The sequence below is a fragment of the Homo sapiens genome, chromosome 18 (genome assembly GCF_000001405.40).
Source record: "Homo sapiens chromosome 18, GRCh38.p14 Primary Assembly".
NCBI lineage: Eukaryota > Metazoa > Chordata > Mammalia > Primates > Hominidae > Homo > Homo sapiens.
This window is the reverse complement of record NC_000018.10, coordinates 519,426-537,943: the sequence shown is the minus strand read 5'-3', so window position 1 is coordinate 537,943 and position 18,518 is coordinate 519,426. Positions and strand designations below refer to the sequence as shown.

The 18,518-nt window shown below is 44.0% G+C and overlaps 1 annotated feature.

The window, feature by feature from the left end:
* Positions 1,350–2,003: an enhancer, noted in NCBI's record as "OCT4-NANOG-H3K27ac-H3K4me1 hESC enhancer chr18:535941-536594 (GRCh37/hg19 assembly coordinates)". NCBI's record gives its function as "activates a minimal SCP1, AML or CMV promoter by ChIP-STARR-seq in naive H9 embryonic stem cells {active_cell/tissue: H9 hESC(naive)}" and the evidence as "EXISTENCE:reporter gene assay evidence [ECO:0000049][PMID:30033119]".

The following is an 18,518-nucleotide window of genomic DNA, read 5'->3' as shown; positions in this document are numbered from 1 at the left end:
TGTTGGTTTAAAGTCTGTTTTATCAGAGACTAGGATTGCAACCCCTGCCTTTTTTTGTTTTCCATTGGCTTGGTAGATCTTCCTCCATCCTTTTATTTTGAGCCTATGTGTGTCTCTGCACGTGAGATGGGTTTCCTGAATACAGCACACTGATGGGTCTTTACTCTTTATCCAACTTGCCAGTCTGTGTCTTTTAACTGCAGAATTTAGTCCATTTATATTTAAAGTTAATATTGTTATGTGTGAATTTGATCCTGTCATTATGATGTTAGCTGGTGATTTTGCTCATTAGTTGATGCAGTTTCTTCCTAGTCTTGATGGTCTTTACATTTTGGCATGATTTTGCAGTGGCTGGTACCGGTTGTTCCTTTCCATATTTAGCGCTTCCTTCAGGAGCTCTTTTAGGGCAGGCCTGGTGGTGACAAAATCTCTCAGCATTTGCTTGTCTATAAAGTATTTTATTTCTCCTTCACTTATGAAGCTTAGTTTGGCTGGATATGAAATTCTGGGTTGAAAATTCTTTTCTTTATGAATGTTGAATATTGGCCCCCACTCTCTTCTGGCTTGTAGGGTTTCTGCCGAGAGATCCGCTGTTAGTCTGATGGGCTTTCCTTTGAGGGTAACCCGACCTTTCTCTCTGGCTGCCCTTAACATTTTTTCCTTCATTTCAACTTTAAATCTGACAATTATGTGTCTTGGAGTTGCTCTTCTCGAGGAGTATCTTTGTGGCGTTCTCTGTATTTCCTGAATCTGAACGTTGGCCTGCCTTGCTAGATTGGGGAAGTTCTCCTGGATAATATTCTGCAGAGTGTTTTCCAACTTGGTTCCATTCTCCACATCACTTTCAGGTGCACCAATCAGACGTAGATTTGGTCTTTTCACATAGTCCCATATTTCTTGGAGGCTTTGCTCATTTCTTTTTATTCTTTTTTCTCTAAACTTCCCTTCTCGCTTCATTTCATTCATTTCATCTTCCATCGCTGATACCCTTTCTTCCAGTTGATCGCATCGGCTCCTGAGGCTTCTGCATTCTTCACGTAGTTCTCGAGCCTTGGTTTTCAGCTCCATCAGCTCCTTTAAGCACTTCTCTGTATTGGTTATTCTAGTTATACATTCTTCTAAATTTTTTTCAAAGTTTTCAACTTCTTTGCCTTTGGTTTGAATGTCCTCCCGTAGCTCAGAGTAATTTGATCGTCTGAAGCCTTCTTCTCTCAGCTCGTCAAAATCATTCTCCATCCAGCTTTGTTCCGTTGCTGGTGAGGAACTGCGTTCCTTTGGAGGAGGAGAGGCGCTCTGTGTTTTAGAGTTTCCAGTTTTTCTGTTCTGTTTTTTCCCCATCTTTGTGGTTTTATCTACTTTTGGTCTTTGATGATGGTGATGTACAGATGGTTTTTCAGTGTGGATGTCCTTTCTGGTTGTTAGTTTTCCTTCTAACAGACAGGACCCTCAGCTGCAGATCTGTTGGAATACCCTGCCGTGTGAGGTGTCAGTGTGCCCCTGCTGGGGGGTGCCTCCCAGTTAGGCTGCTCAGGGGTCAGGGGTCAGGCACCCACTTGAGGAGGCAGTCTGCCCATTCTCAGATCTCCAGCTGCGTGCTGGGAGAACCACTGCTCTCTTCAAAGCTGTCAGACAGGGACACTTAAGTCTGCAGAGGTTACTGCTGTCTTTTTGTTTGTCTGTGCCCTGCCCCCAGAGGTGGAGCCTACAGAGGCAGGCAGGCCTCCTTGAGCTGTGGTGGGCTGCACCCAGTTGGAGCTTCCCAGCTGCTTTGTTTACCTAATCAAGCCTGGGCAATGGCGGGCGCCCCTCCCCCAGCCTCGTTGCCGCCTTGCAGTTTGATCTCAGACTGCTGTGCTAGCAATCAGCGAGACTCCGTGGGCGTGGGACCCTCCGAGCCAGGTGTGGGATATAGTCTCGTGGTGCGCCGTTTTTTAAGCCGGTCTGAAAAGCGCAATATTCGGGTGGGAGTGACCCGATTTTCCAGGTGCGTCCGTCACCCCTTTCTTTGACTCGGAAAGGGAACTCCCTGACCCCTTGCGCTTCCCGAGTGAGGCAATGCCTCGCCCTGCTTCGGCTCGTGCACGGTGCGCGCACCCACTGACCTGCGCCCACTGTCTGGCACTCCCTAGTGAGATGAACCGCGTACCTCAGATGGAAATGCAGAAATCACCGTCTTCTGCGTCGCTCACGCTGGGAGCTGTAGACCGGAGCTGTTCCTATTCGGCCATCTTGGCTCCTCCTCTGTTTGTTTGTTTTTTTGAGACAGAGTCTTGCTCTGTCACCCAGGCTGGAGTGCAGTGGTATGACCTCTGCTCACTGCAACCTCCACCCCCCAGGTTCAAGCAATTCTCCTGCCTCAGCCTCCCGAGTAGCTGGGATTACAGGCACATGCCACCATGCTTGGCTAATTTTTGTATTCTTAGTAGAGACGGGGTTTCACCATGTTGTCCAGGCTGGTCTCAAACTCTTGACCTTTTGATCCACCCCATGCCTCGGCCTCCCAAAGTGCTGGGATTACAGGTGTGAGCCACTGCACCCAGCCCTGTAACTAGGTTATTTATAGTAACTTCTCAAAATTACTTTTAGAAAGCTTGAGAGACAAGTTTCTTTCACTATAAATGAAAATTAAAACGTTTATAAGGTTGTTCCTAAGGAAGATGTTTAAAACTTTTTTCTAAAACATGAATAAAACGTCAGGGATTCTCAACCTGGGCAACATAGTGAGACCCTATCTCTACAAAAACTAAAAATGAAAATAAAAATTAGCCGGGAGTGGTGGCACATGCATGTAGTCCTAGCTACGCAGGAGGCTGAGGCGGGAGGATTGCTTGAGCTTGGGAGGTCGAGGCTGCAATGAGCCATGAAGGCACCACTGCACTCCAGCCTTGGCGACAGAGTGAGACTCTATCTTTTAAAATAACAAAAAACAGGCCAGGCATGGTGGCTCATGTCTGTAATCCCAGCACTTTGGGAGGCTGAGGTGGGTGGATCACCTGAGGTCAGGAGTTCGAGACCAGCCTGGCCAACATGGCAAAACCCTGTCTCTACTAAAAATTCAAAAATTAGCCGGACATGGTGGTGGGTACCTGTAATCCCAGCTACTCAGGAGGCTGAGGCAGGAGAATCACTTGAACCTGGGAGGCAAAGGTTGCAGTGAGCCAAGATTGCGCCATTGCACTCCAGCCTGGGCAACAAGAGTGAAACTTCGTCTCAAAAGGAAAAGAAAAAAAAAAAAAACAGGGAGTCATTTAAATTTCAGTTGGCCAATTATAAAATTTTTCTTCTAATTATTCGCTTTTGGACAATCTTTATGGATAAAAGAAAGTTATTAGGAATACTAAAGCTAATGGAACTAGTAATAGATAACATGCCTGGTGTATACATTAACAATCATTTAATGTTAATATTGTTAAGATTTTTATTAGTTATCTTTAAGTCTTTAGTAACAAGGAACTGAGTTGCCGGTAACTAATCTCATGACTGGATGGGACCCAAAACAAATAAAAGGTAAAAATAAGCAAGCCAACACAAGAGACGAAATGCTCTTGTATAATTCCCAGTAAGTCTCAACCTCAGGCTCTTCTAAAGCAGGAAAGAAGTTGAGTTACTTCCCTCTCACATAACCCTGTGTTCTTTTCTCAATTTTGGAAAATAAGTGGCTTCAATCATTCACTTTAAGTTAAATGTGCTCATCCCTTCAGTAAATGTTTATCTTGGACTCCAAGGAACAGATTGCTGAAGTAGGTGCCAGGTGAGCAGAGAGGGGACCAGCTTCATCCTTGCCTTTGGGCAGCTCATTCTCCAGGAGGGAAGACTGAAACGTACACTAGCACCTCATCCACCAGATTGCGAGCTTTAACCGAGATATAAGTGTCTTTTTTTTTTTTCTGAGAGAAGGTCTGGCTTTGTTACCCAGGCTGCAGTGCAGTGGCACGATTATAGCTCAGTGCAGCCTCAACCTCCCAAACTCAAACAATCCTCCCACCTCAGCCTCCTAAGTAGCTGGGACTACGGCATGTGCCACCACGCCCAGCTTGAATCTGTCTTAGGCCATCTTTGCCTAGCACATGACTAGCACAGTGGACATAACTCAGTGTTCAATAAACATTCCATAACTGACTAATTAAATAAATGCATGCTCATGAGTGGGGTACTAATCAGCTTCTCTTTTTCTCATAAATAAGAGCTCCCTTTAGACAGCACCAATCAAAATATTGAACAAACAGCTTTCCGGGGAAAAGGTGTTTTGGAGGAAACCATACAGGTCTATATGTCAGCCTACATCAATCTGATCTTCTATACTCCAACTTTTTCATATTGTCTTCAAATAGGAAAGGAGTCATAACTAATGACTTAGATGTTACTGAGGTTTTCTGTTAGTAACATAAAAAATCTGAGACAACCTTAATTCAACAACTCAGGATTGGCTACAGACAATACAGGGCACACCTACGGTGGAATCCTATGCACCTACTACAAATCCCATTATGGAAATAGATTTGTGGGTGTGGAAACATTTATGATATGTATAGCACTAAGTGGAAAAAACGCATGTTACAACCTAGGTCTCCTAACAGCTTTGAGTATCATTTGAATGCTATCACAATTGTGGATCTCAAGGAATCATGGACTCTGACAGATATTTCATGTCTTTGTTGGTGTTCCTGCCCTAGACTGCAACTGCTCGCTCTATCCTGAGTTTCAGGATGAGATTGATGATAAAACAGATGAAATACTTAGGCCCTAAAGACAGAGTACTAAATTTAAGAGGAGACTTTGGGTGAATGTATCCAGACTGGCCATGATGCTTCCAGGCTGAGCCAGGAAGCACCATCTGAGCAAATAGACTCTCCCAGAATCATTTTATGGCATTAACTTCACACTTAGGAGTTTATTACTTGAACCAGATCATTTCTGTTGCCATGCATAAATTTGTGTGTGCACCTTTGACCCTAAAATACAAGTGTGAGCATGCAATGGAAGACAGCAGTTGGCCCAAGACTCCAGAGTTCAAGCCCTGCCTCTGCCACTTAATAGACAGGTGGCCCAATGGAAGACACTCACTTTCTTAGCCTTATTGTTTGTATAAGTAATAATAGGAGTCATACATAGCCAGCTGGCCTAATGCCTAGGCTGAGTCCCATATGGGAAAGTGTGCTTCTACAGTGCAGACTTTATACATGTCTAAGGTGTTACTGTCATCAGATGGTGGTGGAGAATGTCTGGGTATTGGGAGCCCTGGTTTTAATTCCTACTTTAGTTGTATATCAACTGGAGACAATCACAAAAGCTCCTCAGGCCTGTTGACTCAATGGTCAAACGCAGAGATTTGCGTAGGGATTTGCTAGATATACTTCTGATATGAAAATTCTATTATGTTGGAAAATAATCTCTGATGTTTCACTCTTGTTTTTAGTTTTCTCATATAATAAAAGATTGAGTCTTGGATTTGGCTTTATGGAACTATATGTGAGCGTGCTTATGCAGAGGGGTTACTGGGGAGGAGGAGAGAGGAGAAGGGGAAATGGTCAAGAGGAAGGGGAGAGGAAATTGGAAAGAGGAAGAGGGATAAGATGTTACAACAGGCATTGTAGATTGGGAAAACAGACCACCTGGAACTGAAGGCCCCTGATTATGTGCTCTGAGGAAACAGGAGCCCAGGGACAGGGCGGATGTCGATGCTTTGACAAGCCCTGCTCTGGTCGTGAGTGAATCATCAGACTCACCTGCCTCCATCCCCAGCCCCACCCCACGCTGCTTCTGCTGTGCCAAGTATTCCTGATTTGGGTGTGGTCTTCTGCTTTCTCAACTTGTTTCTCTGAGAAAAATGACTTATCTAATTTAGGCACAATGACTTTGATAAGTGAAGAATTCCTTGGGAGTAATTACAGACAAATCCACATTAAACTATGGATAATTTTCTATTGAAATGGATTTCTTTCTACTGTTCTCAATTAAGATTCTGTCTTCTGGGACTCAGCTTCAAAGGTTGTATTTTTCTCCTTGTGGTTGCCAGAGACATTGTGTTACAATGACCATCTGGACACCAGAAGACCTGATTGCATCTAGCTCAGTCCTCCAGGCAAGACAGTAGGACAACAGAGATTGCATTATTTGGTCAAGGGAGGTCAGATATGTCAGGCAAGGCTAAAAATTTGACTTCTTAGCATTTTTTTGTTATTATTATTTTAATTGAGACAGAGTCTCGCTCTGTCACCCAAGCTAGAGTGCAGTGGTGCAGTCATTGCTCATGGCAACCTCAACCTCCTGGGCTCAAGCGATCCTCCCACCTCAGCCTCCTAAGAAGCTGGGACCACAGGTATGCACCACCATGCCCGGCTAGTTTTTGTATTTTTTTGTAGAGACAGGGTTTGCCATGTTGCCCATGCTGGTCTCGAAATCCTGGGCTCAAGCGATTCCCCTGCCTCGGTCTTCCAAAGTGCTAGGATTACAGGTGTGAGCCACTGCACCTGGCCTTATCAGCACTTCTTTTTGGTCTGAATCATTTTGGACAGTTAACTTAGTTCTCTGTTTCATCTTCTAAGACACATGTTCTGAGAAAAGAAATAAAGTCCCAAAATTAAATTTACAAAACATATCACTCTAGGGAGGTCCTTTCCATTTTTAAAAGGGAGAAAGCTGGAGATCCTGGAGGAATAGCTCCCAGGATTAAGTGCTGGGGAGGACCTTGCTTTTCAAGGGAGGATTTGGAAGTCCAGAGAGGTTGGGGGACTTGCCTACAGCCTTCGGTTTGCTCAAGGCCAAGCCAGCAAGCAGCATGACTCCCAGTATATTCTTTTTGTCTTAAATTTTTTTTTACCGTGAGAGACACATAAAATTTATTATCTTACCTTTTTTTTGTTTTGTTTTGTTTTTTGAGGCAGAATCTCACTCTGTCACCAGGCTGGAGTGCAGTGGTGTGATTTTTTGTTTGTTTGTTTTTGTTTTGAGACAGGGTCTTGCTCTGTCACCCAGACTAAAGTGCAGTGGCACAATCATAGCTCACTGCAGCCTCAAACCTCTGGGCTCAAGCAATTCTCCTGCCTCAGCCTCCCAAGTAGCTAGAGCTACTGGCGAGCAGCACTACATTCAGCTTTAACCTTTTTTAAGTGTACTGTTCAGTGGTATTAAATACACTCATGACGTGCAGCCATCACCGCAATCCATCGCCACAGCTCTTCATCTTGTAAAATTGCAACTCTGTGCCCATTAAACACTAACTCCACACTCTCTCCTCCTCGCCCTAGTCCCTGGCAACCATTCCACTTCCTGTCTCTATGAGTTTGATGACTCTAGGTACCTTCTGTAAATGGAACCATATAGTATTTGTCTTTCTGTGACTGGCTTTATTGCTTAGAATAATGTTCTCAGAGTTCACCCATGTTGTAAAATATCTCAGAATTTTCTTCCTTTTTAAGGCTGAATAATATTCCCTGGTATGTATAGATCATGTTTTGCTTATCCATTCATCAGATGAACACCTGGGTTGCTTCTGTGTTTTAGCTATGGTAGTAGCTCATTCTTTTTTCCTACCACATGGCAAAGCCTGTTGGGTTAAAAAGAATTTTGAGCCTGAAAACATAACACGTCACAGGTAGTGCTATGGAAAGACATCACCAAGTCAATCTGACTGCATCTAAACAAGCCTTTGTACTGAAGTCTGAAGAAATAAGCGCAAAAAGAGATAATCCAAAAGATACCCATTTCAAGAGAATGCAACCTCTAAGAACAGATTATTACCCTACAAAAGGACATCTATTGAAGAAGCTGCAAAATTGAGTGGTAAGGCCGGGTGTAGTGGCTCATGCCTGTAATCCCAGCACTGTGGGAGGCTAAGGCAGGCGGATCATCTGAGGTCAGAAGTTCGAGCCCAGCCTGGCCAACATGGCAAAACCCCATCTCTACTAAAAATACAAAAATTAGCCAGGCATGGTGGTGCACTTCTGTAGTCCCAGATACTAAGTAGACTGAGGCAGAAGAATCGCTTGAACCTAGGAGGTGGAGGTTGCAGTGAGCAGAGATTGCCCCACTGCCCTCCAGTCTGGGTGACAGAGTGAGACTCCGTCTCAAAAAAAAAAAATTTGAGTGGTAAAAAGTGTGAACTCCAATGGGATTTAAGTTCTGATCCTCTGTCATCCCATCAAATCCCTCAAGCCTTAGTGTCTACATCTCCAAAATGAGGGGAATAATAATATCTACCTTATTGGACCCGAGGTTAAATGACATTAAATACATGTAGAGTGTTTTGCATAGTGCCCGGCACATTATACATGCTTAATAGACATTCACTATTACTATAATTCTAGTTATTAATTTATAGGGTAACCAAATTTCTTCATTGCACAATTTTTCTTTATTTTTATTTTTTGAGACGGAGTTTCACGCTTGTTCACCCAGGATGGAGTGTAATGGTGCAATCTCGGCTCACCGCAACCCCGGCTTCCTGGGTTCAAGCCATTCTCCTGCCTCAGCCTCCCGAGTAGCTGGGACTACAGGCGCGCGCCACCTCGCCCGGCTAATTTTTTGTATTTTTAGTAGAGATGGGGCTTCACTGTGTTAGCCAGGATGGTCTCGATCTCCTGAGCTCGTGATCCACCCACCTTGGCCTCCCAAAGTGCTGGGATTACAGGCATGAGCCATCCCACCTGGCCAGAGCCCTTGATTTTGAAGCAAACTCCTGTCCCAACAGGAAGTTTCCTAAAATTTCACCTAGAGTAGAAACTGAACTTAGGGTTCAATCTGCCCTGGGCCTTTAGGAATCAGGAACGTGGTAATGAAGCAGCACTGTGGTCTGGGGTAAATACCTGAGATTCGTGGTCTCATGGCCACGGAAAACTAGGACGCCGGCACACAAAGAATGAGGTTCAGAGCAGAAGTTTAACAGGCAAAAGAAAGAGCTCTCTGAACAGAGAGGGGCCCTGGAGAAAATGGATTGCCACTTCTGCAGTGAAATGCAGGTTTTATAAATGAGCTTGAGGAGGCGGTGTCTGATTTACATAGGGCACAAAAGATTGGTTGGACCAGGTGTGCCATTTGCACAGCACGTGAAGAAGCTGGGCGTCCCACCCTAATCTCTTATTATTTATTTATTTATTTATTTATTTATTTATTTGAGACTGAGTTTCGCTCTTTTTGCCCAGGCTGGAGTGCAATGGCGTGATCTCTGCTCACTGCAACCTCCGCCTTCAGGGTTCAAGCAATTCTCCTGCCTCAGCCTCCCAAGTAGCTGGGATTACAGGCATGCACCACCACCCCGGCTAATTTTGTATTTTTAGCAGAGACGGGGTTTCTCCATGTTGGTCAGCCTGGTCTTGAACTCCCGACCTCAGGTGATCCACCAGCCTCAGCCTCCCAAAGTGCTGGGATTACAAGCATGAGCCACTGCACCAGGACCCCTAATCTCTTATTATGCAGATGAGTTCTCTACTTGGTAGATGCTATGTTACCTGGTTCTTTACTATACACGTGGTGACAAAGAAAAGGGAGGATGGAGCCTCCATGTTGAATATACCTGGCCCTCAGGTAGCCCTTTTTTATTGGCACAGCTGCTGGCATTTACCCATGCAAGCTTCCAGCTTGCTTATCTATGTCTGCAGTTCGATTTTTCAGGCTACTCTTTGTTAGAAAATAAATGATCCAGCAGCTGCTTTTTTTAAAAAAGGGAAATTCCGCAGAGGGCTCTGTTGCCCTTACTATCTGCCTAAATAATTTCTTTCTAGCTCCTGTATCAGTAACCCCTGTCTAAGAGGTAAGGGAGGGTAGTAAAGAACAACCTCATCGGTCTAGATATTCATGGGACTCATACCCCTCAAGAGGCCAACACTATCAATAACCATAACTAATTTGGGACTGCAGATTATTAGAGTGCACTGTTAGACAACAATAGAAGGCTTTAGTGGAGAGATCATTGAATAAGTCAGTAGTGTAGACACAGGCAGTTGAACTGATCACAAAGATGAGGCCCTTTAAAAAACATCTGAAAGACTGATACTTGACAATAGCAGGCATTTATTGAGAGATCACTGTGTTTTAAGTACCTTCCATAAATCATTTCATTTAATCATCACAACAGTTCTATAAGGGAGGTATTATTGCCCTGATTCTTTGATGAATGTGAAATTCAGAGAGTTTAAGCAAATTGTTCAATGTCACTCAGCTAAACAAATGGCATAGCAGGAATTCAAATTCACGTGCATGACTGCAAAGCCTATTCTCTGCACCCCTACACCAGAGGATCCACAGCTAGGGTCTCCAGCTGAGCATCCACAGTGTGATGGAATAACATGTCGATAGACTTATTCAAATAACAACTTTGTTGACAGCCAGGCAGCAGAATAGTGAGGTACTTGTACTTTAATCACTTCAAATGTGCCACCCCCAAATCTATATTCAGCAGTGTTCAGCAAACACAAAAAATTGAGAACCACCTCTATATGCTATGAACAACAACAAAAAACTCAGGTTACTCTCTTGGAAGATCCAGAAACTGCATTAACAGTTGCCAAAGGGAATTTCAACTAAATGAATATCTGTTCTTTAAAGAGGTCAGGAAATAAGATTAAGAACACTTACACATTCTTGAGATAGTCCTTGCTTGGTATGTTTTCTTAAGAACCAGTGTAATTTTACTTTATCAGGAAGATTATGGCTCTGTTGAAATACTGTTAAAGTGGCAGTATAAAGGTTTCAAATGTTTTTTTAGCAACGGTAAGTTTACTATATATAAAAACATGAATCAGGAAAGGAAGGAGGAGAAATGACTGTTTTTATGCCCTAAAAAAAAAAATCAGAAAAATTTTCAAACTTACTAATATTTCAATGAGACAACCATTTTCTTCTCTCTCTCTCTCTCTCTCACACACACACACACAAACACATACACAGGTATACACACAGAGGATCTTTGAAAATTCTTACTTGTAAAATATGAGTTACAGTGGGGAATAATGCACATTTAATTGGTGAAACTTACGTGACTCTCCTTTTTTTTTTTTTTTTAAGAGACAGAGTCTTACTCTGTGGCCCAGGCTGGAGTGCAGTGCTATGATCATAACTCACTGCAGCCTAAGTAGCCTACAGTGTAAGTCACTGTGCCTCACTCCTCTATTAAGCTTATAGTTTTGTAGCTGATATGGTTTAGATTTGTGTCCCCACCCAAATCTCATGTCGAACTGTAATCCCCAGTGCTGGAGGAGGGGGCCTGGAGGGAGGTGATTGGCTCATGGGGGTGGATTTTCCCCTTGTTCTCATGATAGTGAGTGAATTCTCCCGAGATGTGGTTGTTTGAAAGTGTATAGCACCTCCCTTCTTGCTCTCTCTCCGTCCTTCTCTGGCCACGTAAGACGCGCCCGCTTCCCCGTTGCCTTTTGTCATGATTGTAAGTTTCCTGAGTCGTCCCCAGCCCTGCTTCCTATACAGCTTCCAGAACTGTGCATCAATTAAACCTCTTTTCTTGATAAATTACCCAGTCTCAGGTAGTCCTTTATAGTGATGCGAGAACAGACTAATGCAGTAGCTATCATAGAACTAAAATTGTATTTAAGGCTCAAGATAAAAGCAACCAGAATTTAAATTTTATGATTAGAAAAAACTCTGTGCAGGCCGGGCACGGTGGCTCACGCCTGTAGTCCCAGCACTTTGGGAGGCCGAGGCGGGCGGATCACGAGGTCAGGAGATCGAGACCATCCTGGCTAACAAGGTGAAACTCCGTCTCTACTAAAAATACAAAAAAATTAGCCAGGCATGGTGGTGGGCGCCTGTAGTCCCAGCTACTCGGGAGGCTGCGGCAGGAGAATGGCGTGAACCCGGGAGGCGGAGTTTGCAGTCAGCTGAGATCGCACCACTGCACTCCAGCCTGGGTGACAGAGCGAGACTCTGTCTCAAAAAAAAAAAGAAAAGAAAAAACTCTGTGCATATATATGAGGATCAATAAAGTATGTCTAATGAGCACTACAATATTCAATATTACTCTTTTGAAAGAAAATGAATATTCACCATGAAGAATCAAATGAGATCTCAACTATCTTTGTGACTAACAGACAGAAAATGGTCAAAACAATTCATTTTGGCAATCCACACCAGCCAATTGCAGTTCACACTTTCTCATAATTTTCCCTGCCCAGCAAAGAAACTAGAGCACAGCTGTCCATAGACATGCTGTACCTACTTCCCACAAACCCCACAATGAGTCTCTGCAACTCAGAAAGCACAGGCAGGGTTAAAAGCAAACTGTCTGAGGTCAGATAGCCATGAGTTTGAATCCTGGTTCTGTCCCTGATCACTTGTGGTGCTTGGAGCAAGTTACTTAACTTCTCAGAGCTTGAGTTTCCTTATCTGTAAAATGGGGACGATCATAGTAACAACCATGTTCACAGGGCAGTCAGTGGAGTGTTTGCTCATGGGACATGATCAGTCAATGTTAGCTAGCGATCCTTACTACTCCCAGAGGGTGAGAACCTGGAAGGGTGTGTGTTTGATACATTTTTTTATTTTCCAAAGTACCCAGAGAAGGGCCTCAGCCACAGAAGGGGCTGTATAAAGGCTTACTGAATGAGTGCTGGCTGCCCTCTATAGCTTGCTGGTGGTAACCATAGACACAGTATAGATTGGATCTGAGCATGAGAAGGAAAGGGGTTTGGTTAAGGCCAGTTTGTCCTCCCTGACCTCCATTATAAGTGGGTTGGGGTTTGCTTTCCCTGGAAGATGGCTCATTTCCTTTCCATGGACTCACTTTGTAGTTGTTCACACTACTCTGACTCACGACTCATAAATCATAGACTCTACACGCGGGGACACCAGTTGTTTTTTGTTTTGTTTTGTTCGTTTTGTTTTGTTTTAAGAAACAGGGTCTTGCTCTGTCACCCAGGCAGGAGTGCAGTGGTGCAATCACAGCTGAGTGCAGTAGTGTGATCACAGCTCACTGCAGCCTTGAACTCCTGGGCTCAAGTGATCCTCCCACCTCAGCCTCCCAAGGAGCTGGGATTACAGGCATATGCCACCATACCTGACTAGTTTTTTGTTTGTTTGTTTGCTTGTTTTTTGTAGAGATAAGGGCTTGCTATGTTGCCCAGGGTGGTCTCAAACTCTTGGGCTCAAGCAATTCTCCTGCCTCAGCCTTCCAAAGTGCTGTGATTACATATGTGAGCCACTGCACCCAGCCCTCACTGGGTCTTATGTGTCTTTGGGGCCAACCTCTCACTAGCTTCAATGACCTATGAATAATTAACTGGGAAGCTCCCTCTTCCCCTTTAAAAAAAAAAAGTCTCTTGCTATAAATCTACCAAACATAGCTGGATAGATGCCCTCAAAATCCAAAGAGCTTGCTCACATACACAGACCTGTAAAAAAGAAAGCCAAATTCCAAAAATAATCTGCACAAACTGATTTTTATTTCCACTTTTTCTTTCCTTGAGCTCCAGTTTCACATTGCTGCCCTTCTTAGAAGCTAGTTCTCACTGGTCATTATAGAAATTATATGTCTGGTAAAATCATTACACATTTCATTTAGAAAGTGAGACGAAAAATACTTCCTTCTGAGGTGGTACAAGTTCCATTTACGGCCAAACATTGAGAGGCCAGCCTCGCTTCTCATAAAATCCAATCCTCTTTTTTCCTTAGATGACTTTTCCTCATTCTTCGGGATTTCATGTCAATGCCACTTCCTCCTGGAAGCCTTTTCTAATACATAAAAACTGCTAAGAGTCCTATGCATTGTCTTAGTCTCTTTACATGCATTATCTCATTTAATCCTGAAACTAACCTGAGGAGTAACTTGCTATCATTATCTCTATTTCATAGTTGAAGAGGCAGAGTACAGGGCCAGAAGGTAAGTTGGCAGAACTGGCATTCACACACAGGTGGTATGACTTCAGAGCTCTTACTCCTAAGTGCTACACTATCCTATTTTCCAAAGTACTACTTGCTCTCAAAGCACTCTTTTTCTTCTTTCTTTTTCTTTTTCTTCTATCACAGCACTTGTAGTAAACGTTAGTGGGGTTCTAGCCCATCCCCCATCTCCCGCCCCTTTCCTAACACCTTTCTATTTCAATCTGGTTACACAATCTCCACCCCTGGCCCTAAGGGTGAAACACATGATATAGGCTAAGCCCATCGACATATTTCCTCCCATTGTGCACAGTGATTGGTTGGGGTAGGGATATGCCCTAGGCTGACCCAATCAGAATTCATCTTGAGACTTTAGTCAGGATGCCGGGAATGGGAGGCAGATTCCTTATTCCTTGCTATATGTGAATCACATAGCTTTAGGAGTTGCTGCAGCCATCTTGGGATTATAGACAAATGTGATGACAAAAGAGCTTGTCATGGAACCAGAGCTGAGAAATAAAGAGAAAAAAGTGCTTGATCTTGTCACATGCTTTGAGCTGCCTGGAACAAATCTTCCTGAAGCCATCCTACGTGTGAACTTCACAGGTATATGTAAATTTCCTTTGTTGTTAACCCAGTTGGAATTGGGTGTTCTGTTTCTTGCACTCAGAAGCTTCTTAACTTACTAGCATTTACACATGGTATTTTTCTGGATTTTTTTTTTCCAGACAGAGTCTCACTCTGTGGCCCAGGCTGGGTTACAGTGGCACAATCTCATCCCACTGCAACGTCCACCTCCGGGGTTCAAGCCATTCTTCTGCCCCAGCCTCCGGAATAGCTGGGATTACAGGTGCCCACCACCATGCCTGGCTAATTTTTTGTATTTTAGTAGAGACGGGGTTTCACCATGTTGCCCAGGCTAGTCTCGAACTCCTGACCTCAAGTGATCCACCCGCCTCGGACTCCCAAAGTGCTAGGATTACAGGCGTGAGTCACTGCCCCCGGCCTTTTCTTGATTGTTTAATTGTTTTTTCTCCCCGGTAAACACTAAGATCCTTGAGGGTGGGAACCACCACTGTCTTGTCACAATTGTGTTCCCAGTGCTTGGTACCTGGTAGGGGTTGCATGAATATATGTCAAATGAGTGAAATGAATGAACGGCAGATTTTCTTGGGCGGTGAGTGACCTGAACCACACTTTCAGTTTGCTTAGATTTCATGTCATTTACAGGTGCTTGAAATCTCCAACTGGAACCTGAAAACTGTGGGGTAGCCAAACCAGGCAAAGAGATTGAAAGGAATTTTCCGATTTCCAAACTATTTCAGTTGTACTACATTAGCTAAGATCTCCATTGAATGGATTTTTAAATCCTTAAAACAAGAATACCACAAAGTCCAAACAACTGCAAATGAAAGACTCCCATTGGAATAAAACCATAATCAAGTACTTTAAACAAAAATATAAATACTACATTAAAATGTCTAAAGTAATTACGTACAATATAAACTTGCAGTAACATACCTTTTACCTGATGGTCTTCATCTGTGTTTTATCTTTAGCCGAAAAAAACAACAACAACAACAAAGAAAAAGCCCCCAAACCAGGATAAACTGGAAACATTTATTAAAGCAACCATCAATTTTACTGCCATCATATTTTGAGGCCTGAAACATCAAAGATTTACTGATGTTATCTATAAATAATAATTTTTACATGAGTTACAGTTAAACTATACATTCAAAGCATAACAATGGCAGGAGGAGCCTGGAAGAACTCTTACAGGTCATCCAGTCTAACTCCTTAATTTACCCAAGAGAAGACAGAAGACCTAGTGGAGGCCAGGCACGGTGGCTCACCCCTGTAATCCTAGCATTTTGGGAGGCTGAGGTGGGCAGATCACTTGAGGTCAGGAGTTCGAGACCAACCTGGCCAACATGGTGAAACCCCGTCTCCACTAAAACTACAAAAATTACCCAGGCATGGTGGCATGCACTGGTAGTCTCAGCTACTTGGGATGCTGAGGCAGGAGAATGGCTTGAACCTGGAAGGTGGAGGTTGCAGTGAGCCAAGACTGCGTCACTACACTCCAGCCTGAGCAACAGAGCGAGACTCTGTCTCCAAAAACAAAAACAAAAACAAACAAACAAACAAACAAACAAACAAAAACAACAGAAGACCTAGTGGGAAAGATTTACCTGTGTTTCATTCAACCTAACAATACAACAAGCGTTCACTGGGTCATGCTGTATGTGAGATTTGGTGTTAGATATTGAAAAATAAGGCCGGGCATGGTGGCTCACGCCTGTAATCCCAGCACTTTGAGAGGCCGAGGCGGGTGGATCACGAGGTCAGGAGATTGAGACCATCCTGGCTAACACAGTGAAACCCCATCTCCACTAAGAATACAAACAATTAGCTGGGTGTGGTGGTGGGCGCCTGTAGTCCCAGCTACTCGGGAGGCTGAGGCAGGAGAATCGCTTGAACCCAGGAGGCAGAGCCTTGCAGTGAGCTGAGATTGCGCCACTGCTCTCCAGCCAGGGCGACAAAGTGAGACTCTGTCTCAAAAAAAAAAAAAAAATAAACAAACAAACAAACAAAAAGAAAAAGAAAAGGATATAAAAAGATAGGTTACAACCTAGTTGGGAAAAGAAAGGTATGCAGACACATGCCGTGTAGTGTGATATATTCTATCATCGAGGTGTAAAATCAGATTCTTCAGGCCAGGCACAGTGGCTCATTCCTGTAATCCCACCACTTTGGGAGGCTGAAGCGGGCAGATAGCTTGAGCCCAGGAATTCAAGACCAGCCTAGGCAGCATGGTGAAACCCTGTCTCTACAAAAAATGCAAAAAAAAAAAAAAAAAAAAAGCCAGGCATGGTGGTGAGCGCCTGTAGTCCAAGCTGCCAGGGAGCCTCAGGTACGAGGATTACCTGAGCCTGGGAGGTTGAGGCTGCAGTGATCTGTGATGGCACAACTGCACTCCAGCCTGGGCAACAGAGCAAGACCCTGTCTCAAAAAATAAATAAATAATAAGTAAATAAAACAAAAAAGCAAATGAAGGATGAGGGATCAGTCAATTGGAGGCAGTTCATGGAAATTATTTTCTGAATAGGTGGTTTCTGAGTCTTGAACATTTGCCAGATGAGCCATGGGCAGGGGAGGAATGGGGACTAGAGCCAGAAACAGGCTGATAGAGCTCGGAAATTGTCAATAGATTTGTTTTGTTAAAGCCAAGGGCAAGATAGCCAGAGTTGAGGCTGAGAGAGAATCAGGCCACAACCGTGCCTGTCCTTCCCTCTATGCCACACAAAGGGCTTTGGACTTTTTCTGTAGCTGAGAACTTTCAGGCTGTGGACTCATAGAATAAGATGTGCATGAACTTACTTCACAGATGGGATGAACACGTGCGTGGAGGGGAGTTGGTGGTCAAATGGGATGCAGATACATATGGAAGGTGAGAGAAAAGAATAAATGAGGATTCTGACTTCAGCAAATGAAAAGAGGATGGGAATATTAACCAGAATACAGAATCCAGAAAGTAGTGGTTTTATGGAAAGACATGATTAGAATTTCAGTTTTGTTTTGAGTATATGAAATTCAAGTGTTTGGTGAACCTGCAAGTAGAAATTCCAGGGGAATTCTGGTTGGAATAGCATTGTGAGTTCATGAGTTCATGCAATACACTCCCCCTTTCCACCTGAAACACACAACCTGACGGCGAAAATATACTCAGAAAAACTGAAAAGACATTTACATCTCAGAAGGAAAGTGACTCACGCCTGTAATCCCAGCACTTTGGGAGGCCAAGGTGGGTGGATCACGAGATCAGGAGATCGAGACCATCCTGGCTAACACGGTGAAACCCCGTCTCTACTAAAAATACAAACAATTAGCCGGGTGTGGTGGCGGGCGCCTGTAGTCCCAGCTACTCAGGAGGCTGAGGCAGGAGAATGGCGTGAACCCGGGAGGCGGAGCTTGCAGTGAGCCGAGATTGTGCCCCTGCACTCCAGCCTGGGCGACAGAGTGAGACTCTGTCTCAAAAGAAAAAAAGCAAGGTGAACAGAGCATTGGACTACATACAGAAGAGAAAGACAAGCAAGACTGAAGCTGTGACCTGCTGCGTCCAGGTGTGGAACTAGGTGGACATGGAGTTGGTGTCCTGTGGGGTGATGAGGACTAAAAGAACCCTAGGCAAGGCAGAAACTAAGCGAGCCAAGCTGACCCTTACTCCTGCATCAATGGAAACTGAGAAAAGCTTCAAGCTTCAACCACCTGCCACCTGGGCCTCCACCTATGTGAGCTTCATACCTAGAGAGAGAGAAAGATGCAAACACAGCTCACACCCAGTACTTGGGCCAACACACACTCTGGCTGGAGGACTATTCCCTCTATAACCGGCGATAGGACATGAAGAATCCACGTAAGACTTAGCTCTGGACACAAGGCCCAGGAGGCCTGCAGGAAGGTTTCTGAAATGTACTAACAGGCAGTGATAAGCACAGAGAAGAGGAAACAAACAAAAACTCTCACATTCAAAATAAACCTGCAAACCAAATATCTCCAAACATGAAGAAAACTAAATAAAGTATAAGGCATTAGTTGGCTATGGCCACAACAACGCTGTGTAACAAAATTCAGAAGCTTCAACTGTTATAACTGTTTACTCTCAGGAACATGGGGCTGCTGGCAGGCTG